This window comes from Homo sapiens, chromosome 17 (genome assembly GCF_000001405.40).
Source record: "Homo sapiens chromosome 17, GRCh38.p14 Primary Assembly".
NCBI classification, from domain to species: domain Eukaryota; kingdom Metazoa; phylum Chordata; class Mammalia; order Primates; family Hominidae; genus Homo; species Homo sapiens.
Window position 1 is genome coordinate 41,513,175 of NC_000017.11, and position 24,557 is coordinate 41,537,731.

At 54.0% G+C, this 24,557-nt stretch overlaps 2 protein-coding genes and 1 non-coding gene across 5 annotated transcripts, besides 9 other annotated features; all 3 read right to left on the reverse strand.

Moving 5' to 3' along the window:
- KRT15 (keratin 15) lies at positions 571-5,716 on the reverse strand. Of its 3 annotated transcripts, none has more exons than NM_002275.4 (8): positions 5,156-5,716; positions 3,909-3,991; positions 3,634-3,790; positions 2,930-3,091; positions 2,711-2,836; positions 2,298-2,518; positions 1,475-1,500; positions 571-946 (listed from the first exon to the last, which is right to left on the reverse strand). In NM_002275.4, exons 1-8 carry the CDS (start codon positions 5,651-5,653, stop codon positions 849-851), a joined length of 1,371 nt encoding a protein of 456 aa, NP_002266.3. In that variant the 5' UTR covers positions 5,654-5,716; the 3' UTR covers positions 571-848. The 3 variants fall into 3 exon arrangements, with proteins under 3 accessions (NP_002266.3, XP_011523086.1, XP_016880103.1); XM_011524784.4 differs by having other exon boundaries at positions 2,930-3,112; XM_017024614.3 differs by having other exon boundaries at positions 932-966; positions 2,930-3,112.
- Positions 3,467-4,351: an enhancer, noted in NCBI's record as "H3K27ac-H3K4me1 hESC enhancer chr17:39672893-39673777 (GRCh37/hg19 assembly coordinates)". NCBI's record gives its function as "activates a minimal SCP1, AML or CMV promoter by ChIP-STARR-seq in naive H9 embryonic stem cells {active_cell/tissue: H9 hESC(naive)}" and the evidence as "EXISTENCE:reporter gene assay evidence [ECO:0000049][PMID:30033119]".
- MIR6510 (microRNA 6510) lies at positions 3,990-4,043 on the reverse strand. Its single transcript, NR_106765.1, has one exon. It is a non-coding gene; the product is annotated as a microRNA 6510 (primary transcript).
- Positions 6,056-7,055: an enhancer, noted in NCBI's record as "H3K4me1 hESC enhancer chr17:39675482-39676481 (GRCh37/hg19 assembly coordinates)". NCBI's record gives its function as "activates a minimal SCP1, AML or CMV promoter by ChIP-STARR-seq in naive H9 embryonic stem cells {active_cell/tissue: H9 hESC(naive)}" and the evidence as "EXISTENCE:reporter gene assay evidence [ECO:0000049][PMID:30033119]".
- Positions 8,169-9,368: an enhancer, noted in NCBI's record as "P300/CBP strongly-dependent group 1 enhancer chr17:39677595-39678794 (GRCh37/hg19 assembly coordinates)". NCBI's record gives its function as "activates an origin of replication core promoter dependent on BRD2, BRD4, P300/CBP, MED14 and CDK7 cofactors, with strong dependence on P300/CBP, by STARR-seq in HCT116 cells {active_cell/tissue: HCT116}" and the evidence as "EXISTENCE:reporter gene assay evidence [ECO:0000049][PMID:35650434]".
- On the reverse strand, positions 10,443-15,134 carry KRT19 (keratin 19). Its single transcript, NM_002276.5, has 6 exons — positions 14,654-15,134; positions 12,017-12,099; positions 11,669-11,825; positions 11,205-11,366; positions 10,969-11,094; positions 10,443-10,823 (listed from the first exon to the last, which is right to left on the reverse strand). Exons 1-6 carry the CDS (start codon positions 15,071-15,073, stop codon positions 10,569-10,571), a joined length of 1,203 nt encoding a protein of 400 aa, NP_002267.2. The 5' UTR covers positions 15,074-15,134; the 3' UTR covers positions 10,443-10,568.
- Positions 14,331-15,030: an enhancer, noted in NCBI's record as "NANOG-H3K27ac-H3K4me1 hESC enhancer chr17:39683757-39684456 (GRCh37/hg19 assembly coordinates)". NCBI's record gives its function as "activates a minimal SCP1, AML or CMV promoter by ChIP-STARR-seq in naive H9 embryonic stem cells {active_cell/tissue: H9 hESC(naive)}" and the evidence as "EXISTENCE:reporter gene assay evidence [ECO:0000049][PMID:30033119]".
- Positions 15,031-15,728: an enhancer, noted in NCBI's record as "NANOG-H3K27ac-H3K4me1 hESC enhancer chr17:39684457-39685154 (GRCh37/hg19 assembly coordinates)". NCBI's record gives its function as "activates a minimal SCP1, AML or CMV promoter by ChIP-STARR-seq in naive H9 embryonic stem cells {active_cell/tissue: H9 hESC(naive)}" and the evidence as "EXISTENCE:reporter gene assay evidence [ECO:0000049][PMID:30033119]".
- Positions 15,729-16,426: an enhancer, noted in NCBI's record as "H3K27ac-H3K4me1 hESC enhancer chr17:39685155-39685852 (GRCh37/hg19 assembly coordinates)". NCBI's record gives its function as "activates a minimal SCP1, AML or CMV promoter by ChIP-STARR-seq in naive H9 embryonic stem cells {active_cell/tissue: H9 hESC(naive)}" and the evidence as "EXISTENCE:reporter gene assay evidence [ECO:0000049][PMID:30033119]".
- Positions 16,427-17,124: an enhancer, noted in NCBI's record as "H3K27ac-H3K4me1 hESC enhancer chr17:39685853-39686550 (GRCh37/hg19 assembly coordinates)". NCBI's record gives its function as "activates a minimal SCP1, AML or CMV promoter by ChIP-STARR-seq in primed H9 embryonic stem cells {active_cell/tissue: H9 hESC(primed)}" and the evidence as "EXISTENCE:reporter gene assay evidence [ECO:0000049][PMID:30033119]".
- Positions 16,427-17,682: a biological region, named in NCBI's record as "CRISPRi-validated cis-regulatory element chr17.2493". NCBI's record gives its function as "regulatory_interactions: KRT19 | STAT5B".
- Positions 16,830-17,682: a transcriptional cis regulatory region, noted in NCBI's record as "candidate enhancer chr17.2493 targeted for multiplex CRISPR interference". NCBI's record gives its function as "positively regulates expression of the KRT19 gene with high confidence and the STAT5B gene with lower confidence in K562 cells {active_cell/tissue: K562}" and the evidence as "EXISTENCE:mutant phenotype evidence [ECO:0000015][PMID:30612741]".

A 24,557-nucleotide genomic window follows, 5' to 3' on the forward strand; every position in this document is an offset into this window, starting at 1 on the left:
TGTGAAAAGGGCCCTGGGGTCCTAGAGCAAGCCCTGGTCTTGGAGTCCTACAGACACAGGCCCAGGCCCAGCCCTGCTACTTATCATCCATCCACAAGGCCCGGGGCAAGTTATTCTTCTCTCTGCCTCCAGTGACCTCATCTCTAAGGTGGGAATAATAAATCCTGACCACCTACAGTGGTGAGGATTAAATGAGCCCCATGGGTGAGCGTGCCTGGCATCATGCCAGCCATGGGATGGCGAACAAAGACAATCAACGCGATCAGTCACTTGGTAAATATTCATAATTATTAGATGTGTTGAGTTCTGTGCTGGGTACACCAAACTCTTTTTAGGGAACCTCCCCACCCTCACTTCCCTGGTCACCCCATGGTGACCCAGAAGAGCAAATTACCTGAGTAGCACTATGTTTGTCCCAGCCACTGGTGCCCTGGGTACCCAAAAGAATTGTGGCCACGCAGGGAAGAGGCCAAAGTGGGGGGAGATATCACCATGTGGACCCTGGGTCTCCTCAGAGATCAGAGGCCAACCAGGACCCCATCAAGAAAAACTGGACATACTGCCAAGAGATATTTGCAAAAGGAAAAGTAATTCTTTATTACATGAACAGACACTGTACAAATGAGCTTGTTACACAATACAGCTGCATCTCCTTGCTCCAAAGAAGGTGGGGAGAGGCAGAGGGGGAATAGAGCGCATGCAAAGCCCTGAAATAAAAGACCGAGGGACCCTTTTCAGCTCTCTGAAGGCAGGGACTGGAGTTTGCATGTGCAGGCCCTCTGGCCAGTCCTCCACTTGGCCTGATGAGAGTGGGGAGTGGCAAGGGACGTTTCTCCTGCAATAGACACTTAGATTTCTCTCTTGTGGGAAGAAACCACCTGTCCATCCACTGACTCTTCTACATTGATGTGGAAATTGCTGCTGCTACCACCACCTCCTGAAGAGGCTAGAGAGAGAAGGAGTAGGCTTTAGAGTGGGGGAACCTCCCCGCTCTGCCACGGTGGCCAGGACCTTGGCGGGGCTCTGGGAAAACTAGACAGCACCCCTGAGAATGGCCACTGGCCAATCCCTCAAGAGCTGCCAGAGATCTGGTGTTGAATTCCTCATCACAGAGATGGGCAGTGGCAATGGCAGGTATGCCCGGCAGGGAGCAACAATGTCAGGGTTTTTCAAGCTGCACATGAAGGGGGATGAATTGTGGGCATCTTAGCGGAAGTGTATGAAGATGGGGCCTGGGGGAGAGACATGCCCTGAATGAAGCCTACTCAACCTGGAAGTTTCTCAATAAATCACCAGCTGCAATCTCACCTGGGGCTGACAGAAGTTCCCACTGGGGAAGAGGCATCTAATGAATGGGAATGTTCCCACCTAATGGGATGTTTGGGCTCTTTCTCCTTCCTCCCTATTCCGAAGGGGGTGGTGGCTTCAACATCTCCCCTCCCCACCCCACACCAGAAGAGTAAAGCCTTCCTACCTTCCCTGATGGCAATGCCAGCCATCCTGAAAGAAAGAGGGAAGCTGATTTAAGCAAAGGGCACAAGCTCAAGTGTCCGTAAGGGAAGCTCATGTAGATAGCTATGCAGTGTTCTTCAGACCCTACACCACCACCACCCACACATCTGACTCCTCTAGGGGTGGGACATCCTGCTAGCCCATCCAGGCCTGCTATCCCCAAGTAGACAGATTTTGTTTTGTTTTGTTTTGTTTTTTGAGACGGAATCTCACTCTGTCGCCCAGGCTGGAGTGCAGTGGCACGATCTCAGCCCACTGAAACCTCCGCCTCCCGGGTTCAAGTGATTCTTGTGCCTCAGCCTCCCGAGTAGCTGGGATTACAGGCACCCGCCACCACGCCCAGCTAATTTTTGTATTTTTAGTAGAGACGGGGTTTCACCATATTGGCCATGCTGGTCTCGAACTCCTGACCTCAAGTGATCCACCCGCCTTGGACTCCCAAAGTGCTGGGATTACAGGCATGAGCCACTGAGCTGGTCAAGATTCTGAACTACAAGAATACCCATCTATCTCATGCAGAGAATGGAATGAGCACTAGATCTTAACTACCACTAGCCCAGCCTCTATCATTTACAGAAGAAACACGGATCCAGAGAGAGGAAGTGACCTGTCCCAGGTAACAGCCAAGGACCAGAGTGAGGAGTCCAGATCCTCCCTCCTTGCTCAGTTCTCTTTTCACAGTCCCTCAAGGCTGCTTAGGGACACCCTGCCATTCCCTTAGGATGACCCTGCACCCTAGCCACAAGCAGCCCTCATCACTCCTTCCCCTGTGCCCAGGCGCCTACTTGGCATCCTGGCCCTCGAGCAGGCTGCGGTAAGTAGCGATCTCCTGCTCCAGCCGTGTCTTTATGTCAAGCAGCATCTTGTACTCCTGGTTCTGAGCCTCCATCTCGCATCGGAGCTCACTCAGCTGGGCCTCCAGGCCACCAATGAGCCCCTGGATCTGCTGCAGCTGCGTGGCATAGCGGCACTCTGTCTCGGCCAGTGAGTTCTCCAGCCCAGCTTTCTGGGGGAGTGACAGATGCATAGACACATCAGGCTAGAAAGGAAGCCACTGAGGGCAAGCAGGGAGGGGGCACTGAATGGAGTTCAGGGAACCACCTCTTGAGGGGGCTTGAGAACTCCAAGGCTTAAATAGCCAGGAAGAGTGGGAGCTTCTACCACCCGAGAGGCTGGGATGGGGCGCGAGTGGCCGTACCATGCTGAGCTGGGACTGCAGCTCGATCTCCAGCTCCTGCATCGTGCGTCTCAGGTCTGTGATCTCCGTCTTGCTGGTCTGGATCATTTCTGTGTTGGAGGCCACCTCTTTGTTCAGCTCCTCAGTCTGTAGGTCATGCACAACAGAAGTGAGCCCCGGGGCCTCCTCGGAGACTCAGGGACCTGGGGCAGGAAGGGCAGGGCAGGATATAAGGCCCACCTTGCTGAAGAACCAGGCCTCGACATCCCGGCGGTTCTTCTCCGCCATGGCCTCGTACTGCTCCCTCATCTCTGCCAGCACACGGGTCAGGTCCACACCCGGTGCTGCGTCCATCTCCACATTGACCTGGCCGGCCAGCTGGCTGCTGAACTCCTTCATCTCCTGCAGGATGGGAGGGACCCACTTAGAGACGGAGAGCAGAAGAGAGACCTGAGAGTCTGGCGTCACACATGCCAATCCTGGCTCTGCCCGTAACACACCCCAACCGCTGTTCCCCATTGCACATGAAGAGGTTTGGTCACATGGACCCCTCAGCTCTAAGGAGTTCTCTGCTGCTCTAGGTCCTACCAAGGGAGGACCCCGAGACTGTAGGGCCCTGATGTGAGCTCACAAAGCCAATCAGGAAGTCAACCATTCATACGGGCCACCTGGGCTGGCTGTGGGCCTGGGCTACCAGACACTGCCCCTTCCTCTCCATGAGGACACCTGGTTTTGTGGGGTAGGTGTGTTTCTGAACCACTAAGCCCCAGGCCAACTATGAGGAAGTACCAACAGCCCCACTCTGCCTCCCACTGACTTAATCTCGTGAAAATCTGGGAGGGCTTCCTGGAGCCACTGTCTTTCCCTCTGGGCAATTTAAGTGAGTTTTGGGAAGAGGTTCCCCACCTCTCTCGGGTTCAGGGGTGATGGGGGCCAGCTCTCACCTCTTCGTGGTTCTTCTTCAGGTAGGCTAGCTCCTCATTCAGGCCCTCGATCTGCATCTCCAGGTCAGTCCTGGCCAGGGTCAGCTCATCCAGGACTCGGCGCAAGCCGTTGATGTCAGCCTCAACGCCCTGGCGCAGGGCCAGCTCATTCTCATACCTGAGGAGAGGGAGGCCAAAGAAGGAAGTGGGAGGGGTCTTGGCTGCCTGAGTCAGAGCCAGGAGAAGGCCAAGTAAAGTGGGCAATGCAGGAAGAGGAGAGAGACGGGGGAGCGCACTTGAGCCTGAAGTCGTCCGCAGCCAGCCTGGCATTGTCGATCTCCAGGATGACCCGGGAGTTGTCGATGGTGGTGGCCATGATCTGCAGGAGACAGAGTCGGTGTCTAGAGGACTCCTCTCTCTCCCCTGCTGCTCTCTGCTCTGCACCCAAGGCCAGCCCCTCATTGAAAATCACCCCTCACTGACAATCACCCCTCTGACACCACCAACAAAAATCTGTACGGCTTCTGGGGTGGGCAAAGTCCAGCCTCACTTTCAGTGTCCATTTCTTGTTTTGTCCCATCCAGCCTCCTTGAGACACCTGAGGAGCTGCCTTCCTTATCTCCAGGGCACGAAAGACCAAGGAGGCAGTATTGCCTGTGGGAATTGGTTGCCCAGGAGAGTGGGGCAGTGGGGTGCAGCCAGCTCTGACAATAGCTCTCTCAGAGACACTCCACCAGCCCCACTGTGGACAACTCATGGTCACTGCCTCCTGCACACCTTGGACACAGCCATGGATCTACAGAACATTCCAGCCAGTAGCAACCTGGAGGGCAGTTAAGAAGGCATTTTACGAATGAGGAACCCAGTCTTAGGGAGTAAAATGGTGAGTGAGTGGGTGGCAGAATGTGTAATGAGTTCCCAGGTCTCCTAAGACCCAACAGTACTTTTGGCACAAAAGACCTCTTTATAGGAAAAGACAAGAGGTTCTAGCATCTGGAACTCATGAGGCCACACTCCAATCCCATTCTTGCAAAAGAGGTAAAGGAATACTTTATGCAGAAGCCTGCAGGGTGCATGAGGTAGGGAGGGCGAGTTGCTCTTTTTTTTTAATTATTTTTATTTAATTAGATACAGGTTCCACTCTGTCACCTAGGCCGGAGTGCAGTGGCACAGTCATAGCTCACTGCAGCCTCTAAATCCTGGACACGAGCAATCCTATCACCTTGGCCCCCCAAAGCACTGGGATTACAGGTGTGAGCTACTGCCTCTGGCTCTTTATAATTGCCCCCACCTGTGCCCCTGTTGGTCCTAACCAGATTCCCAAGACCCCTCTCTCCCTCCCCCAGCACCACCAAGTTGAGAAGATGTGCACTGGCCTCTGCACCTGGACAGCAGGTGCATTCCAAATTTGCTGAGATTACATACCAGACAGTCATTGCCTGGGCAGGAAAGGATTTCCTTGAGTCAGCAGTAACACTGACATTAGAGCTGTGTACAGGGTACCAGCCACCTGCTCCCCTCTCTTTGACATCCGAGGACTCACCTTGTCCCGGAGCTCTTCAATGGTCTTGAAGTATTGGCTGTAGTCGCATTCTGGGCTGGTTGGGGTCTGCTTCTGGTACCAGTCATGGATCTTCACCTCCAGGTCAGCATTGGCCTCCTCCAGGGCACGTACCTTGTCCAGGTAGGAGGCCAGGCGGTCATTGAGGTTCTGCATGGTAATTTTCTCATTGCCAGAGAGGAGACCACCATCGCCACCACCAAAGCCACCACCAAAACCCCCACCAACGCCCCCTCCAAAGCCTCCACCGAAAACACTACCAGCCCCTCCACCAAAGCCACAGACCCTCATGCCACCCCCATATCCTCCTCCTGACCCTGAAGAGACAAACCTAGCAGAAGAAGCTGAGATACTTCGGCTTCCACCTCCCCCAGAGAGACTCCCCCCACCAAAGCCACCTCCCCCAGCCAGGAGGGAACCCCCTCGGGTTGAGCCACCCCCAAAGGTGGAGGAAGAAGTTTGCAGAAATGTGGTGGTCATGGCCAGGTAGCTGGAGCCCGTGAGTTCTCAGCAAACCCAAGAGATGCTGGCAGGAGGTACCAGGCCAGGCTGCACGCTGGGGCTCCTTATATACCCTTCAGAGGGTGTTGTGGGACCTCGTCTCCTCCCCTAAAGCAAAGCCAACTCCTTCTGCCTTCCTGACAAACACAGCTGCCTGCACACCTTGAGTGGGTCATGTGAAGTTTTTCTCTTCTATTTTTTTTTAATGCAACAAAAGAGATGATTCAGAATTAATAGTGTTTTTCCCCAGGGCACGGTTTTAACACTTGGATTACAGGTTCATCTCTCCATGCCAGAAGAGAGCAGCAGGGAGCGAACTCTCATCACAGCACAGCTACCAAGGCCTCTGCCTGTACTGAGAGCAGCTCAGGCCAACTGTGCCCTCAGCTGGACTTCACTTCCCCGAGCCCTGAGCCTCTCCCCAAGAGGACAGCTCCGTGTTCTTAGTTTGGGAGTCCACTGGCCGATCATTATGCTGTGTTATCCAACTCAAAACCCTGTGAGTGAGTGAGTGAGTGAATGAGTGAGTGAGTGAGTGAGTGAGAGACTGCAGGGCTCAGGGAGAGTGGAGGCCCTGGGGATGGGAATGCAGGGCCCCTGGGGGCAGGTGGAGGACAGGAGCCAGGGACCTTGAGTAGTGTTCCAGCTGAGGTGACCAGAGGAGCCAGCATCCATCCCCTTACCTGGTGCTGCAGATGGACTCCCCTCCTCCCACCTCTACTCCCCTCCTGCCATCCTCCAGCCTGTGTTCCTGGCACCCTCACAAAAGCCCAGCAGGCTTGGGACTGACAAGGGGATGACTGATGATCCCGACACCTGCCAACTGCACGGCGCTGAACCTTTGCTCGTTTCTGGGATGTGTTGGGGCAAACCTCCGCTGATAAGGCTGGGGCAAGTTCCAGGAAGCCCCTGCCTTCTCCAGGAGAGGCATGTCGCTGCTTAGCAGGGCCAGATTAGCCCCCATCTGTCCTGTCAAGTGCTGGCTGGGGACGGGCCGCTGCAGAAGGCTCTATGTGCCTGAATGCTGTGGAAGGGAAGAGAAGGGAGACTGGCAGGCAGGCTGGAAGACACCGGAGATCTTGAAGACCAAGGCATTGCTTCACACAGACGGGGAGTTGAACACTCAGGAGAGCCCTTTTCTCTGCCACCAGCTCAGGGACACCTTTCCAGGGACACCTGATACCTGTGGGCAGTGCCACTTGGAGGTGTGGCTCAGCCCTCTGGACCTGGCCCCAGGGCTTACAGAAACTCAGGAGGAGGATTCCTAGCCCAGGTTGCAGCATGGTGAAGTGGACAGGGCTCTGGAGTCCCTCAGGCCCGGGTTTGAATCCTGGCTTTATCAATTATCATGGTAAGACTGTGAGGCCTGGGTTCAAATCCTGACCCTACCAATTACCATGGTAAGACTGTGGACATTTACCTTTTTAAGTCTCTGTTTCCCTGTGGCAAGGGGCGCTCTCAACTCTCACTTCCAGGGAAGCCCTGTGGCCCAAGAGCCCCCATCCTGCCCCCTCCTGGATCCCCACCCAGGTGCCAGACATGCAGGGGCCAGGGTGCATGACCGGCACCTGCGCCTGAGTGCCCTCACCAGGAGGGGCTTTGTCGTTGGGCATCAGAACATGCCCTGTGAGCCTGAGCATGTTCTTAGGCTCAACGGCATCGACCTTCCATAGCCAGCTCCTATGGGGCAACGCAGGTTGTTCTTAGGTTCTTATTTTGCTATAATAGCATAATCCTTTACTTCTACCCTGCACTTTGTGATTTACAAAGCACTTTTGCATCCATCACCTCCTCTCATCCTCACAACAGAGGGTGACCCCCACCCAAGATTCAGAAAGAATGAAATTGAAACTTGGAGAGGTGAAGCAACTTGTGCCAGGTGGCACCACTGGTAAGGGGCAAAGCCAGGACTCAAACAGGTCCTCACACCCTCAACCAAACAGGGCACAGGGAAAGAGTCCTTCCTGCAGACCCCAAATTCCTGCATCTGAGCTGGGCTGGCAAGGGGAACTGCCAGCCAGCAAGGCTGGGGGTGGGTTCCTTCTCATCCATCTTCGCAGTGAGCCTGGCCTCCAATGCTGGGCACAGACAGTGTGGTATTGTCTCATGGGTGGGAGGGTATTGTCTTTTCCTCCGAAAGAAAAATAATCAAACTCAGATCATCCAGAGCTCATTAAAAGCCTCTGCAGACATTGTGGCCCCAGCAATTAACTCAAGAACAATTACTCGCCTTTCACCCCAGGGTGAGGAAGGGCTGGACCCCAGCCAGATCCCCTTCTGCACCTGACTCTCCTCCAGCAGCCCCTCGAGGTGGCTTTCTCTATACTCTCAGGCCCAGGCCAGGGGCGGCAGCTGCCCCCCTCACTGCCCCACGCACAAATCCCTGGTTTCAGTCCAAACCGCTACTGTGAGCTCCAGATCTGGGTGGGGCCCGGAGCCTCCTCATTAGCACCAGGTGGGATGGCCTTGCGAAGATAAAGCTCTGTCTGGCCCCAGCCCAGGCTGTAGCCCCGGGCCCTGCCCCAGGCAGCCTGCCCAGGATGCTGTGCCAGTTTCTGACCTTTGCCCACTGCAGCCAGATGGGGCCATCTGTGGAGCTGGCCTTTTCTCCTTAGAATGAGGCAGTGCAGCCCAGTGGAAAGAGACTCAGCCTCTCTGAGCCTGGTTCCTGATTTAAACTTAGGCCATTAACACAGACTCCCCTCAGGGCCATAGTGAGCATTTGAGGGCACAAGGAGAATGAAGTCTCCAACAACCTTAGAACCCTCCCACACCTCTCCTGTTCCCCAGGGAAATGCCAGGGAGAGGGGGTGTGTCCTGGAGCCCAGAGACTTACCTTTAAACCCCTCTTTTCCCATTTACCAGCTGTGCGGCTTTGGGTAATGCCGCCTCCTCTCTCTGAGCCTTAGTCTACCAATCAGGAAAATGGAAATAACTCCAGCTCAGCCTGACTCTCAGTTGGAGCAAGATGACTCACAGGAAATGCTCAACAGACTGAAGTGGCCACGATGACCAGCAGGATGTAAAGGCACTCCCCTCAACTTCCCCACTCCCCTCTCCCTCCTATCCCAGGTCTCCAGGCTGAGACAGAAAAGTGTCCCCAGTCCAGCCCCACCCTGCACTGTGCACACACAAAGGCAGGCTTCATTCCTGACACTCAGGCCTGAGACCTGACAGTCACCTGCCCCACCTGTGTGGGCCCAGACCCCGCCCCGCAGCCACATTCCAGGGGCCCCTGAGGCAGAGGGAAGGTTTCAGCTGTGACAAGGGAGGCTTTCATGGGCAGGGACAAGCGCCTCTGGGCAGTCCCAGCTGGGGGTGCAGCCAGGCCTCTCCCTCCAGCTCCAAGGCTTCCTGAGAAGTTAAGTTGGGGGTGGTGGTTTGTGGGTGCTGGAGGCCAGAACAGGACAGCTAGGGAGGGGGCAGAAGGGGGTCCCAGTCCAGGCTACAGCAGCGGGGCTCTGGGGTTACATGTTCATAACCAACCTTGAAACAGCTCCTCCTTCGGGATTGCCATGGCCGTGATGGGGTCTCCAGCCTCCTTAGCAGGGTGCTGAGTACATTTGGCAGCATGCGGGCGTGGAACTAGTGTCCCTCACTTGCCCCCATCACTCATAGGGTTGGGCCTGCAGCCCTCACCTCTCCACCAGGAAGAAGTGGGACTTCTTTTGGGGCCTCTTCCTTACCTTGAATTGGCCTCAGTTCTTGGCAGCTGAGATGTAAACCACAGGAGCAGGGCCATACCTACCCAAGGGCAGAGTTGTACCAGGAAGCTGGGACTTCGTTCTTTTGCTGGCCCAGGGCAGGCCCCAGGCAAGCCAGGGTTGGGGTCTCTGTGGGAGGTCTGGGTCACTGCTGGGTCCCATTCTGGGCTCTGGGCCCAGGTATGGGCTGGTGGGCGTTAAAGGGCTTATGCAGGGCTGCCCCAAAAATGGGTGAATGTGTTAGTGCATGCACACACACAACACACACTGACAGGTACAGCCTCCCCAGCCTTGCTCCAAGCGGGATGCCTGGCCCCAAACCCCCAGTTTCAGTGAGGTGGAGAAATGTGTCGGGAGGAACTGCCCCTAGGGATCCCCGGCCTGAGCCTTCATAGGGCACAAGACTGGAATGTCAGCAAGACCGGCACAAGTGGCGTCAACTCCAGGAGACCACCTGGCAGGGGCTGGCACCATGGGCTAAGAATCAGGCAACTTAGGTTCTAGTCCTGGCTCTACCATGTAGTTGCTGTGTGGCCTTGGACAAGTTACTGAACCTCTCTGAGCCTATTTCCTGATCTATAACATGCAGCTCATACTACCTTTTAGGGCTGTTTTTAATTCAATGGCACATAGTAGGTGTTCAATAAACATTAATTTCACACAGATACCTCAACGCCCTGGGGAGTAGAGTAGAAAGAAAACTAAATCTAGAAGCAAAAACAATTTCAAATCCCACCTTTGCCATGCATTAGAGCAGTTACATATAGAAAAAAACACTTCACCTCTCTGAGCCTTAGTTTACTTTTGTAAAATGGAAGCAATGCTTATTTCATGAGGTTATTTTAAGGAACGGGTTAAATAAATGAAGACTTCTGTAAACAGGAATTACCATTACAGGCAAAGTATGTGAGTACCCTCCCCTCCCTTTCCTGGGACAGAGTGAACTTTGGTTCAAATAAAACCTAAACAGGGCCAAGGCAGGACCCATCTCTCCATGGGCTCAAATAACAAACCGAACGACCTATTCTCTCCATGGGCTGAAATAATAAACCAAACGTCCTTCCTCCCTTGGACCATAAATTTTTATTGGCAGGTCAGGAGAAGAGCCGGGGGTAAGGGTCCCTTCCTTCCCATCCCTCTACCCAGAAGACACCCTCCAAAGGACAGCAGAAGCCCCAGAGCCTGCTGCCTCAGAGGACCTTGGAGGCAGACAAATTGTTGTAGTGATCTTCCTGTCCCTCGAGCAGGCTGCGGTAGGTGGCAATCTCCTGCTCCAGCCGCGACTTGATGTCCATGAGCCGCTGGTACTCCTGATTCTGCCGCTCACTATCAGCTCGCACATCGCCCAGCTGGGCTTCAATACCGCTGATCAGCGCCTGGATATGCGCCAGCTGGGCTCCAAAGCGCGCCTCCGTTTCTGCCAGTGTGTCTTCCAAGGCAGCTTTCTGAGGATAGGGAGAGGGGGTTGTGACTCAGCAGAGCCTGGTTCCCGGAGAGGGCATGGGCACAGCCACCGGCCAGGCTGCCCTAGGCTGCAAGGGTATAAGTGTGAATTGCACAGGGAAGCGGCGGCGGTGGGGGGACACATACCATGCTCAGCTGTGACTGCAGCTCAATCTCAAGACCCTGAAGGGTGCGCCGCAGGTCAGTAACCTCGGACCTGCTCATCTGGAGCTGCTCCGTGTGGCCAGCGACCTCCCGGTTCAATTCTTCAGTCTGCAGAGAGAGGAAGAAGAGGGAATAAGCATTGAGTCAGACCTTCGCGTAGGGAACACAAAGCCCTCCCCTTCCTAACCCCCAAAGGGTGCCTGCTTCCCTCTACCTACCCGGCTGGTGAACCAGGCTTCAGCATCCTTCCGGTTCTGCTCGGCCATGACCTCATATTGGCTTCGCATGTCACTCAGGATCTTGGCGAGATCGGTGCCCGGAGCGGAATCCACCTCCACACTGACCTGGCCTCCCACTTGGCCCCTCAGCGTACTGATTTCCTGTAAAGATACAGCAGAGATGGGCATGTCAGGGCCCAGACCCCACTGGGCCTGGCCCAGGTCACTTCCCCACCCTTCAGGCTAAAGGGGCTTAGTTTTCAGGTGCAGGCCTAGTAACTAGCACTGGGGGACAGACTGGGTCATCACTGATTCCTCTTGGAACCCTGGGATCCATGATCCCACACCCAGGGCCATGGTGAGGGTGCACCAAGTGTTACCACGGTCAGAGAATACAGAATAAAAGAGTCTTCAGCCCTGGGAGGTTAGGGAAGGATGGAAGAAAGGCCCAGCTTCAAACCCACCTCCTCATGGTTCTTCTTCAGGTAGGCCAGCTCTTCCTTCAGGCCTTCGATCTGCATCTCCAGGTCGGTCCTGGCCAGGGTCAGCTCATCCAGCACCCTGCGCAGGCCGTTGATGTCGGCCTCCACGCTCATGCGCAGAGCCTGTTCCGTCTCAAACCTTTCAAAGGAAATAGTTGCAGCCAGGCAGAGCTTCCTCAGCATCTCTGAAGACTTCCCTACCTCCCCAGAGTTCAGGAGTCCATAGGGGGGTTAGCTTCAGGCCATCTAGGCTAGGTGAGGGCAGATTCTAAACCCCCCAACCCCTACCCCAGTCCTGGCTTCTGCAGCCCCCAGGACAGAGACACTCACTTGGTTCGGAAGTCATCTGCAGCCAGACGGGCATTGTCGATCTGCAGGACAATCCTGGAGTTCTCAATGGTGGCACCAAGAATCTGGAAGGCAGAGGCAGAGGTTGGTACCAGTTCAACACACAGGCACTGCCCACTCACTTTCTTCCCAGAAGAGAGAGGGGAGCAAATGAATATACCCCGGCACCCTAGAGACCAAAGCCCTAGCCAGCATCTGCCGCCCATTGGCCCGCTCTCTGGGAGGCCTTGCAAACAGTCCATGCCCAGAAGCTGGGGCAGGAAGAAAACTGGAGCCAGGGGGACTTGGGTGGGGGAGGGCAGGAAGGCAAGCCTGGGGAGGAAATCTCTGAGACCTGTGTGCAATGAAACTCTAAATGGCCTGAAGGGGGTCTATAAACCAGATGGGGGGTAGATTTTGTCTATACCTGCCCCCCCCACTATGCGAAGCATATTTTGCCCCCAGGGAAGAGAATCCCATTTGTTGAGTATCAATTATGTGCCAGGCACTTTGAATCTCATCTTTTATAGCTTCTGGAACCTCACTGCTAGGTCAGTGGGTACTCCTATCTTACAGAGGTGGAAACTAAAGTTTAGGATGATGCCTCATCCAAGTTCACCCCAACCTGAGGTCTTACTGACCTAAGAGGCGCATTCACAACAGCCAGCTTATCATTGAATAAGGTAATTGTGTTCTGTTTTTCAAAGAGCAGGTCATCACTCATTAGTCAAGGCACCAGGTGGTGATTGTATAGTTTTGTGTTTTGGGGGGGTTTTTTGGTTTTGTTTTTTGGGGTTTTTTTGAGACAGAGTCTCGCTCTGTCACCCAGGCTGGAGTGCAGCGTCGCGATCTCGGCTCACTGCAAGCCCCGCCTCCCGGGTTCACGCCATTCTCCTGCCTCAGCCTCCTGAGTAGCTGGGACTACAGGCGCCCTCCACCACGCCCAGCTAATTTTTTTTTGTATTTTTAGTAGAGACGGGGTTTCACCGTGTTAGCCAGGATGGTCTGGATCTCCTGACCTCGTGATCCGCCCGCCTCCGCCTCCCAAAGTGCTGGGATTACAGGCATGAGCCACCGCGCCCGGCCGATTGTGTAGTTTTTTAATGCAACAGAATAGGCTACAAAATATCAGAGGGGATTTCTCTTAGTATGGTGAGAATTGTGTCACCCATTTGTGTGTGTGCATGTGCACGCACACACACACACAGAGGTGAGAAAAAGAATGCGTAAGGGTGCGTAGTAAAATGTACTTATTGTCGCAATTTTTTTTTTTTTTTGATACAGGGTCTCGCTGTGTTGCCCCAGGCTGGAGTGCAGTGGCACTGATCACGTACAGCTCGCTGCAAGGCACACGCCACCATGCCAAGCTAATTCCTTTTTTTTTTTTTTTTTTTTTTTTTTTGAGACGGACTCTCGCTCTGTGGCCGAGACTGAAGTGCAATGGCGCAATCTCGGCTCACTGCAGCCTCCGCCTCTTGGGTTCCAGCAATTCTCCTGCCTCAGCCTCCCAGGTAGCTGGGATTACAGGCATGCACCACCACGCCCAGCTAATTTTTGTATTTTTAGTAGAGACAGGATTTTACCATGTTTGCCAGGCTGATCTCGAACTCCTGGGGCTCAAGCAATCCTCCCACCTTGGCCACCCAAAGTGCTGGGGTTACAGGCGTGAGCCACAGTGCCCAGCCCCTGTAGGTCACAATTTTACAAGTGTGTAAAGCACTGTTTTTGTTGGCTGTTGACATCTCTAGCGCTTCCTCCTGGTCTGTGGGTCTGGGTCTATGCCACGAGTACAGCACTGGAAAATATTTTGGGGATCTGTTTGTTGGGAGACCCAGCGTGTGCGGCTGTAAATGTTCCATGGCTTCTGATACATTTCTTTACGACTCGAAAAATTTCTCCTTCCCTCTGGGTGGAGACCAAGCCCTACCCCTCAGGCCCCTTAGGGTTCCCCTGTAAGAGCGTGTGACGCAGATCCGTTCTTTCCCCGACAAGGAGCTGCCACTGTACTGGGTCCTCCCCAGCAGAGGTTTACCAAGCCTCCCTCCTTTACCCCGCCCAGGGGCCACGACCGGCTCTCCCATTCTTCCTAAACGAATGGGCCCCAGGGCGGGAGAGTGGGAGGAGGCCAAAGCCTGAGAGGGATGAACACTAGACCCTTCCGGCCAGAGAAACGGAATGCAGGAGGCCCTACGCTGCGGTGGCAGAGGGGGCAAGACTGGCCCCGGGTGGACCAGATCACCAAAGCCAAACTCTCGCATCTTCCTGCGGCAGCGCGGCCCCTGGCCTAGACCTCTGGGCACTCTACAGCCGGGTCCCATCTCCTCCCACTCTTCAGGCCTCGCTGACCCGCGTCCCTTCTTCGTCCCGGGGCTCCAACCTTGCCCCCGCCACCTCCAGAGGCCCCACCCACTTATCTGCCCTGCCCAGTTCTCCTCCCCTTTCCACCACCCCGGCCTCTGCATCCAGCCCCGAGGTCCTGCCCCGCACGTCTCCTGTCCCCCTTTACTCGGCCCCACCTGTGGACCTTCCCACGTCCTAACGGGCTCCTGCCCGCCGCCCCGCCTGGAACCTCGCCCGGCCCGCGGGGCTGGGTTTCCGCGGCAGGTGCACTGCACTTCCCGCGGCCGGGCCTCCGCCCACCTTGTCCCGCAGGTCCTGGATGGTCGTGTAGTAGTGGCTGTAGTCGCGGGAGGGCCCAGGCCCCTGCTTCTGGTACCAGTCGCGGATCTTCACCTCTAGCTCGCCGTTGGCCGCCTCCAGGGCGCGCACCTTGTCCAGGTAGGAGGCCAGGCGGTCGTTGAGGTTCTGCATGGTTAGCTTCTCGTTGCCCGCCAGCAGCCCGTCGGACGCGGTCAGGACGCCGCCGTAGCCGCCGCCGTAGGCCCCCGAGGAGGACGAGGACACAAAGCGGGCGGAGGACACGGATACGCCGCGGCCGCCGGAGCCCCCGTGAATGCTGGGCGCGCGAAAGGCGACCCCCGGCCCAAAACGCACGGAGCCGCCGCCCAGGCCTCCGAAGGACGACGTGGCCGACGACTGGCGATAGCTGTAGGAAGTCATGGCGAGGCGGAGCACGGACGGAGCAACCCTGGTCTCAGAAGCTGCGATTCGCGGGAGGAGCGGCGAGGCCCTCACCTGGCGCCTTTTATGCCCGCGGCCGGTGGAGGGGGGAAGGGAGGAATGGTGTCAGGGGCGGATATCTGAGCCCTGAGGAATTTGCAGGCTCCTGAGAGCAAATATGGGCTCTCTCCCCATTGGTCAATTCCCTCCCCTCCCAGAGACCAGAGGCCCCTGCCCTCCAGAGGTGCCCCGCCCCGGTCCGCGCAGAAGCTCCGACCCGCACTCCCCCACTCTCTCTCTGCAGACCCTGTTCTGGCCTTTCCCCCGTCAGGGACATACCTGGACACCCCTGTCCCTGGAAGCCACATTCTGAGCCTCACCCTTTAAGATCACCCAGAGTTTGACACCACTGGGAATTACAGTCCCTCTGGGGTCATATTCCTACACACCCCTGACCCAGTGATTTTGTTTTTGTTTTTTTGGAGACGAGTCTCTGTCGCCCAGACTGGAGTGCAGTGGTGTGATCTCGGCCCACTGCAGCCTCCATCTCCCGGGTTCAAGCGATTCTCCTGCCTCAGCCTCCGGAGTAGCTGGGATTACAGGCACGCGCCACCACGCCCAGCTAATTTTTGTATTTTTAGTAGAGACAGGGTTTCACCATGTTGACCAGGCTGGTCTCAAACTCCTGACCTCAAGTGATCCACCCGCCTGGGCCGCCCAAAGTGCTGGGATTACAGGCGTGAGCCCCTGCGCCCAGCCCCAGTGATTAACCATTCAGAGTGCTCCCTGTTAAGAGCCCCTTGCTTGCGATCCTAACCAGCCCGCCCCCCACAAAGTGCATTCACAGATTCCTGCCCTCCACTGGAGATTACAGCCTCTCAGAACCAGCTTCTTGGGAACACCCATGCCCAACTCCCCTTTTGTCCCCTCTGACAAAGGCACCAGTTCCGGATCAGGGCACATCCGGGCATTTTGAGCTGCACGAACCCAGCCCTCTCAAGACAAAGCTGCCTCACCCTGCTGTCGCCATTCAGTGCCCCAGGTGACAACAGTCTCCTGAGAACAGCTGCAGGGAGCGGTTCTGGCAGCTGACACCTTTCCAACACTAAGCTCCAGCCTGATCCTCACTCTGGAACCCTCAAAGCCCACTCGTCCCTGGCCACCAGGATGATCCCCTCCCTTCCATCCCCCAAAGCATGCGTTCATTCAACCACAGGAGTATTGGGCTGCTTTAATATTTCCAAAATGAGGAAGCAGAGCCTGGGAGAGGCCAGTAACTTGCCCATGAGGCATTTAGCATCTGCCACTGAAAGGCAAACATAGGATGAATCCCTGCCCTCCTTGTCAGAGGGCTGCTGAATGCATGTCCTCATCCTTGTATAAAGATGAGTGCTTGAATGAGCTGGGCAGAGCGACACAAAGTGCCCGGCACAAGGTAAAGGTTTTGACAATAGAGGCAGGGCCTTCCTCCCCACACAGCCCCACCCCTTGCTCTGTTCAACAATTCCACCCACCGTTTTGGATCTCTTTGGAGGGCCATGCCCCCTGCCAGGCACTACAGGGCGCTGCAACAACCTCACCCCAGTTCCTGTCCCCAGTGACCCCCGTCCCCAGAACTGTCCCCATGGTTCCTTCTTGTCCTTATGGCAAAGCATTCACCCAGGCTTGGAACAGAGGCCCTCCTGAGAAGGTATTAAGGGAGACAGGCCAGTCCCTGCCCATCTCTGGGTCTCAGTTTTCCCTCATGAAAAGAGGGGTGGCCCAGCTCAGCCCTCTTCTCTGTGTATTATCACCTGGGTCACCTGTGACTGGTGGAGACTTGTCTCCAGCCTCGGAAACCTAAGTTCCCAGCAAACTACCTGTTAGCTGCCAACTCATCCTTGAACTGGGGCAGGAAACCCCGTAAATACACACCCCTAACCCACCAGGAACCGCTCTGAGCCCTCAGGAAGGCCAGTCTGAGGCTGTTTAACTAGTGAATCAGTTGCAGAAAGACTGAAGGTCTTTGGAGAGCCCAAGAGGGAGAAAGGGGAGTCCAAGACCAGCCATAAAAGCCAGCACCCTGTGACTGGTCAGCTCTGAGTCATTCCCTTATCAGGCACTGATGAGGAGGCCTGCTCCTTGTTAGCGGGAAGGGAGATTGGCCAGATAGTTGCCATGCACACAAAGCCCCAATAGGCAGCTCTGTTTTTCTGGCCTGATAGGGGGGTCTGGGGAGGGACTTTGTATTAAAGGGCAAAGAATAGAATCAACAGTTCCATTCGTAAGATTAAGGTGTTCTGAGCTCCCTAACCTTCAGAGGCACTTGGAGTCCCAGCCCCCTACTCTAAGACCATAAACAGAAGGACAGTTGACTACAGGGTAGCACAGTTTAGAGCCTTTTCAGATCTCACTGGATCCTCACAGCAGCCCAGTGGAAAAGGTATTCTTATCTCCATTTTACAGATAAGGAAACAGAGGCTTGGTGAGAGGCAGTAATTTGCCAAAGGTCCACCGCTAGGAGTATCAGATTCTGGCCTCCAGCTTCTTGACCATCAGCCAAGAGTAACGGAGGCCCTGCTCTCCCTTCCAAGGAAGTCTCGGCCCCCAAAACAACTCCTTTGGGTGCCTTCCCTCAAAATCTTATCATGCCAGTGCCAAGGGCAGTCAACCCCAGACTGAACTGTTGGCTGGGCTAGGGAGAATACCTTGTTCCCTCTCTCTGGCCAGAAACAGTGCCTGGCCATGAGGTATGTGGCCTTTGGCACTTTCTGATTCATCAAGGACTCAGGAGAACAGTCTGTAGAGGCTGCCCTACCCAGAGATGGAACTGGAGGTCAAGCTGCTGCTCCCATTTAGGAAACAGTGCTCACAACCAGGAGGCTCCCATCAGCCTCTGGCTTCAGGAGGGCAGAACCTGGTCAGAGGAGCATCCATCCAATGTTCATGTCTCCAGTCTCAGGTCTGGGGTCTGCAGAAGAGGGGTACAGAGGGTCAGAAGTGATGGGTATGGAATGGTGAGCTCAAAGGAATCCCAGGGAGGATCCTGCCCAGCCTTCCCCAACTGGATTCTACAGAACCCCAGCACTATGAGATCCCTGCAGGAAAAAAGATCCCTGTCAAATAAGATCGGAAACTCTGCTCTCTCTGACTCTCTTTTGGAGTTTCACAAGGCACAGTACCAGAAGCCCTGGAAACCTCATTTCCTCATTTGTAAAATAGAGATGATGATGATGAGGAGGAGGAGGAGGATACCTATTTCAGAGGGTTGCTTCAAGTGATAAATGTAATGGTGCTTGTAAAAGGTTTATCACACCTGGCAAATAGCACTCAAACAGCATTATTATTATTATTATATAATGTTATTTTTATATAGTATTTGTTACTATAATTTTGGCTACAAGTGTTATTATTTAACTTTCTTTAACCAGTATTTCCCAAGTGCACTGGACCATGGAATCTTTAAATATCTATTAATAACCCATGAATTACAGAAAAAGCCAGTCCAGCCCCAGGATGCTCAGAAAGGTAAAGTGACTTTCCTGGGGTCGCATGATGATTCAACCGACTGAACTGAGGCAGATCTGGGATTCATTTCTAACTCCTAACACTGAGGCTGAGGCCCCCTCTGCCTCTCCACTTGGACATACACATGAAGCTTCTTATCCTTCAGCAGATGCAGGTGGTTCCCAGAGTGGAGAGGTTAAAGGTAGGGGGGTTTTCATCATCCCAGGAGAAATGGGATAGTCATTGGAGACCACAGGAAAGAAGCTGGGGGTGAGAGACCTAGTCCTTGGATAGAATGGAATGGTGTGATAATGACAACAAGAATAATGATGACCAAGGTGATAATAATACAGTAGATAATCATAGCCAACATCTACTGGGCCAGGCTCCATGCTAAACACTCTGAATATATTATCTCAATGAATCATGTTAATTAAGTATTATTGTCCCCATTTAACAGTCAAGAAAATTGAGGCTCAAAACGGTTAATATCTTGTCCAAGGTCACACAAGTAAGTAGTGGACTGGGTATTTGGGCCAAAATCTTTCACTCCCTCAAGCCACAGTCCCAATTGCTAATGCTGCCCTCCTCTCATGGGAAAGGGATCAAGGTGCCTTCTTCTGCTGCCCTGGAGAAAGAGCCACCAAGTTGGGGAAGGCATTGTATCATCTGCCAAGATCCCAACTTGCCCTGCCTGCTCTGATGCACAATTATTTGTTTGGTCAGTCAGTGGGCCATTCAAGCAAGTTTCCTCCAAGTTGAGCCTAGCAGAGGAGACAGACTCGTGTCCATGAGCAAAGCAGAAGGCTCTGTTCATAATCTGGAGGAGAGGAAAGGTAAATGTGTGGAAAACTTCATGAGCTTGCATGTCCTGTCAATTAGTAGCTCCTTACCTGAACGGCCTCCGCTTCCCCAGGGACCACCAGCACAAGGAACTTCCTCACCCGCTCCTCCATTCATTCAGTGAACATGCATCAAGCGCAGCTTCTGTGCTACGCATGCTGCCAGGGGCTGGGGCACAGAAGTAAATACAAATATTTCCTGCCTCTAAGAGGCTGACAATCTGGTAGGGGGGTGTATAGAAGTGTATTAGCTTTGGTGAAATGTGGTAGGTTCAATAGCTACATCAATTTTGACTCCTTCCTAAAACCCTGCTATGATATGACAGTTAAGGAGTATTTTAAGAGAATGGAAGAAGAGGTGAGGCACAGTGGCACACGCCTGTAATCCCAGCGCTTTGGAAGGCCGAGGCGGGCAGACTGCTTGAGCTCAAGAGTTTGAGACTGGCCTAGGGAACATGGCGAACTCCTGTCTCTACCAAAAATGCAAACAATTAGCTGGGCATGGTTGTGTGCACCTGTAGTACCAGCTACACAGGACGCTGGGGTGAGAGGATCACCTGAGCTTGGGAGGTGGAGGCTGTAGTGAGCCAAGATTGCGTCACTGCACTCCAGCCTGGGTGACAGAGTAAGACCCAGCTGGAAGGGAGGAAGAAAGGAAGGAAGGAAGGAAGGAAGGGAGGGAGGGAGGGAGGGAGGGAGGGAGGAAGGGAGGGAAGGAGGAGGGGAGGGAAAGAAGGAGGGAAGGAGGAAAGGAAGGAGGGAGGGTCAAAGATGAGAAATGTCAACAAAAGCTTTAAAGCTCAAAAATGGTAACACAGAAGATGAGAGAAAGCTGAGACCCAGGGTTTGGGGGATTAGGAAGGGGTCAACAGAGGAGAGAGCAGGAAGCCCGTGAGAGGCAAGCACATTCTCAACATACTCTAAAGAAGCTCAAGAATTGGGGCACCACAGACATGGAGAGGAAAAGTGGAAGAGGGACCGTAAGCAGGGCTGGCTGGAAGTTTCTGTCAACAGTACCAGGCCCCCTCCCAGACCCCTACCCAACTAAGGCAGCCAGGGGACCACCTCTCCCCAATTCAGGAGAAGACAGGAGATTTACTTTTCCTGATTAGACTGGCCTGCTCACAACGTTTGATGATGTCAAGTGTAGAGAAGCCATGAGTAAATGAACCTCCTCAAACACATTGGTGGGAGGTGGGTTGTAGTAACCACTTTGCAGAGCGATTTGACAATGTCATCATTTTTTTTAACATTCATGCACTTCTTGAGCCATCAGTTCCACTCTTCGTGTTCATCCGAAAGAAACCCTGGCCCGTGTATTGAGGAAGTCATATAAAAGGATGCCCTATGCAGCATTGTTTGCTACAGTGCAAAGACACAAACAATCACTAATGGCGGGGAGGCGTTCAGTAACTATGTAACATCCTGCTGTGGAGGACTAGAAATTAAATGGAATGAGTAATGACAATGAATAGTGACACTGAAAACCCTAAAGAACTAGTTATTGGGCCGGACATGGTGGCTCACGCCTGTAATCCCAGCACTTTGGGAGGCCAAGGTGGGTGGATCACCTGAGGTCAGGAGTTCGAGACCACCCTGGCCAACATGGTGAAACCCCGTCTCCACTAAAAGTACAAAAATTAGCCAGTCGTGGCGGCGGGTGCCTGTAATCTCAGCTACTCGGGAGGCTAAGGCAGGAGAATTGCTTGAACCCGGGAGGCAGAGCTTGCAGTGAGCTGAGATCGAGCCATTACACTCCAGCCTGGGTGACAAGAGTGAAACTCCATCTCAAAAGAAAAAAAAAAAAAAACTAGTTGTTGGGTACAGTAAATCTAGTTGGAGAGCAACACACTTAATATGATAAATTCATGTCAACATACATTCAAAAGATGACTTATTGCTAAGGTCCATATGAATATGTATGAATATATGCATAGGTAAGGAAGGAATCTGATTGAAGGATGGTAGCCAATAGGAACCTAAGCTTAATCTCTATGGTTTTAAGTTTTATAAGAATGTATTTAGTATTTCTTGTTAATTAAAGTAAATAATTTCTTAAGTAACACTAAACCACAGACATTTAGAACTAGCCAAATTTCATATAGTCAATACCCTCTTCCCCTCCCTGCACTCACCACTGACATCATTGTCTCTGCTCATCCACACCAACCCTAGCCTTGAATTGAGAAATGAGAGAGGAAGTTTTGGAAGAGGGAGAACTAGATGTGAGGAGAAAAGAGACCCTGGAAAGGGTTTCCATCCTCGTGCCCCCACCCCTGGGTCCGCCAGGCTAGTTTTACTTCTTTATGAAACAAGAAGGCAAAACGGACAAGAAGAACTTTGGAAGAGTCTGAGTACAGGGAGAGCTCCTTGCAGCCGATGACTTACACCTGAGGAAAGCCCTCCCACTCTGGTTCTCCAAGGATCCATCGTCTGGAAGCATCTGAAGTTGGCCCCCCTGGGTGTTCTCACAACAGACAACAAGGCTCTCCCAGGTGGTGGCGTGGATCTGTGGGGCTACAGCTGGTGGCAGAGCAGAGGGTATTCTATGCAAGACAGCAGCCACCTTGTGGGCACATGCGAGGCATTCCCCTGGGGACTTTCTGAAATAACTGGAAGATCTTTAGGGGGTGCTGGAGTGGGAGCCACCATGTGGGCCATCAGGCTAGAGCTATTGACCCAGTATTGAGGTATGCCTCAAACCAATCAATGTGATCAAGTATGTAGACACTGGGAATTATGTCTGCCTGGGGGCATTGAGAGCTATTTAATTACAGAGGCATGACCCTTGAGCAAGAAGCTGACAGACCAGTAGGTATTTCTCAGGCAGAAGAGTAAAGAGAATGGGGGCCTGGAAGAGATGAGTAACCGGGCCCAGCTTGGGAGACTACTGGCAATTCAATATGGTTGGGCCATGGCAGGAGGGGAGGGAAGGGGGTCGTTGAGGACAAGGTCAGCTGTGGGGGAGCTGTAAGCAAGACAATGGAAAGTCATTTTCATCAGGGATGGGATGTGGGTTTTGTGTGGCAAATGGGTTGATGTGTCAAGGGAAGCAGGGATGACCAGGGATAAAGAACCCAGTTTAGGGTGTTTTAAAATAGTCCATGCTAGAGATGAGAGGGTCTGAATCTAGCCATAGTGGTGGGCTAGAGAGTAAAGGACAGAGACAAGACCTGCTGTTATGACCTGATGACAAATGGGAGTGATGAAAGAGAGGGACCCTGCACAAAGCACTGCTGTGTGCCAGAGATGCTGGCCAAGTCCTGGACGGTCTCAGCTGAGCAAGATCCCTGCCACTACCATCCCCCAGCCCTGGGACCCATGCCGTCTCTTGGGGAGCCTTGCTCTTGCCCAGATGGGGAAGAATCCTATTCACTGTCTTGAAGGGCCCAGCAGCCAGGACAGGGCAGCGCCGGCCATGTCATGAGCAGCCCAAAGCCGCACTCGGGTCAGGAGGCTGATGCTCTCGGGACTTGAGCCTCCGCACAGCCCAGGTCTGGCCATTTCTGCTGCATCTCAATGGCTTCCTGAGACGTGGAAACCCAGGAAAGGGGGAGGGCAGGGCAAGTAAGCTAGGTCAGGATGGCCCCTGGTGTTCCTCTCCAAGTCCTCAGGGGAGGAAAAACCAGCCCGACCAGAACCAGGGCAGATGGTGTGGGTGGGGAGGGACAGCTGAGTCCTGCAAGGAATAGTCCCAGGTCCAGGGGCCAGCTTCCCCGAGGTGCCACATTCCACAGCCTGGGAAGACAGGGGCCTGCCTCCTCCTCACTCCCTCTCCCTGGAGGTGAGTACGTGAGCAGGCTCACGCTCACTCCACACAGGGAGGCCCCCCCACCGATCTTAGCCAGGGGTGTCTCTCTCAGCTTTTGTCCTGCCCTACTCAATTTGGGCCTCATTTGACGCCTCTGCCCCACTTCAAGCTGTGGCCCATTCCATCTGGACTGGGGCAAGGAGAGTGCCAGACACAGGACAGAGAGAAAGAAAATGTCCGGGTGCCTGCCCGGATTCCCAGCACCCAGGAGAGGGCACCTGGGTGCTTCCCTGCTGCCTTCTGGCTGACAAACTTCCCTCCCATCAGGATCCTGGTGGGCTGTGGTGGCGATGCTGCCTCCTTCAAGAACAGACTCTGGGCAGTCCCAGATGAGCAAGACCCCTCCACAGGCAAAATCTTTCCTTTCAAAACCCATCTGATCCCACGACTCCTGAGGGGAAGCTTCAGCTCTGTACTCCCCCTCACCTGGGAAGGTTCCCGTCCAGAAACTCAAATTGTCCTCCTCGGATGCAGGGGTCTTGGACACTGCAAGCATTTTCACTGAACACCCGCTGTATGCTGGAGGCCACCTCCACCCGGCGTTGGCCAGAGCATCCTCCCTGCCTACCTGCCCCCTCCCTTTACCTGGATGGCAGCCATGCCAGCTCCTCTCAGTTCCATTGGCATGGGTTTCTTCTCCCTGATATGTCCACCCTGACCCGCTCAGGCTGGGTCAGCATTCCCACCCCCACCCACTTGCCCAGCACTTACCACAGCTCTGTCTCCCCATCTAGACTTGGAGCTTCTGTATCTAGCCCCAGGGCTGACTCCAGCACTAGTAAACATTTAATGATTATTTGCCAGAACAGAGCCTTCTCCTGAAGCCCTTTTATTTTTTTTCATTTAACACCAATTATGGTCCACCTTCTGTGTGCCAGGCACCTTCTAGACTCTGGGCTTCAAGAGCAGGGCAGTCTAAAGCTGCCTGCCCTCCTGGGGCTTTCATCTGGGGTAGGGGGCAGAGTAGCAAAGCCAGGGAGGGGGTCAGCAGGGAAGGCCATTGAGGGGTGGTCAGGGAAGGCCTCTCTGAGGAGGTGACACATGAACAGAGACCTGAATGAGGCAAAGGAGCCCTCAGATCCCCAGGGAAGATTATTCCAAGCCAAGGGCACAGCAAAGCCAAAATCCCTAAGGAAGAGGGAGCTTGGTCTGTTCAGGCAACACCAAGAAGTCCCAGTGGTTAAGAGGGGTGAGCCAGAATGACAGTGTGCAGGAGATGAGCCCAGGGGAGGCCAGGACAGAGCACTCGGTGTCTGCGGTCTAATGGAGGCGCTGGCTTTTATCTTGAGAGTAATGGTGCTTTGAGCAGAGGAGCACTGGGACGCCCTCCCCACCCCTGGCTGCT

Excerpts from the sequence above, each read along its gene's own strand:
- KRT15 (XM_011524784.4), bottom strand. The coding sequence starts at position 5,653 with ATGACCACCACATTTCTGCAAACTTCTTCCTCCACCTTTGGGGGTGGC. Across the intron at positions 3,992-5,155 it reads TTGAAGAGCTCCGGGACAAG|ATCATGGCCACCACCATCGA; the intron begins GTGAGTCCTCGG and ends TGTCTCCTGCAG. Across the intron at positions 1,501-2,297 it reads CTCGAGGGCCAGGATGCCAA|GATGGCTGGCATTGCCATCA; the intron begins GTAGGCGCCTGG and ends TCTTTCTTTCAG.
- KRT19 (NM_002276.5), bottom strand. The coding sequence starts at position 15,073 with ATGACTTCCTACAGCTATCGCCAGTCGTCGGCCACGTCGTCCTTCGGA. Across the intron at positions 11,367-11,668 it reads TGAAGAAGAACCATGAGGAG|GAAATCAGTACGCTGAGGGG; the intron begins GTGGGTTTGAAG and ends GTATCTTTACAG. Across the intron at positions 10,824-10,968 it reads TGCAGTCACAGCTGAGCATG|AAAGCTGCCTTGGAAGACAC; the intron begins GTATGTGTCCCC and ends CCCTATCCTCAG.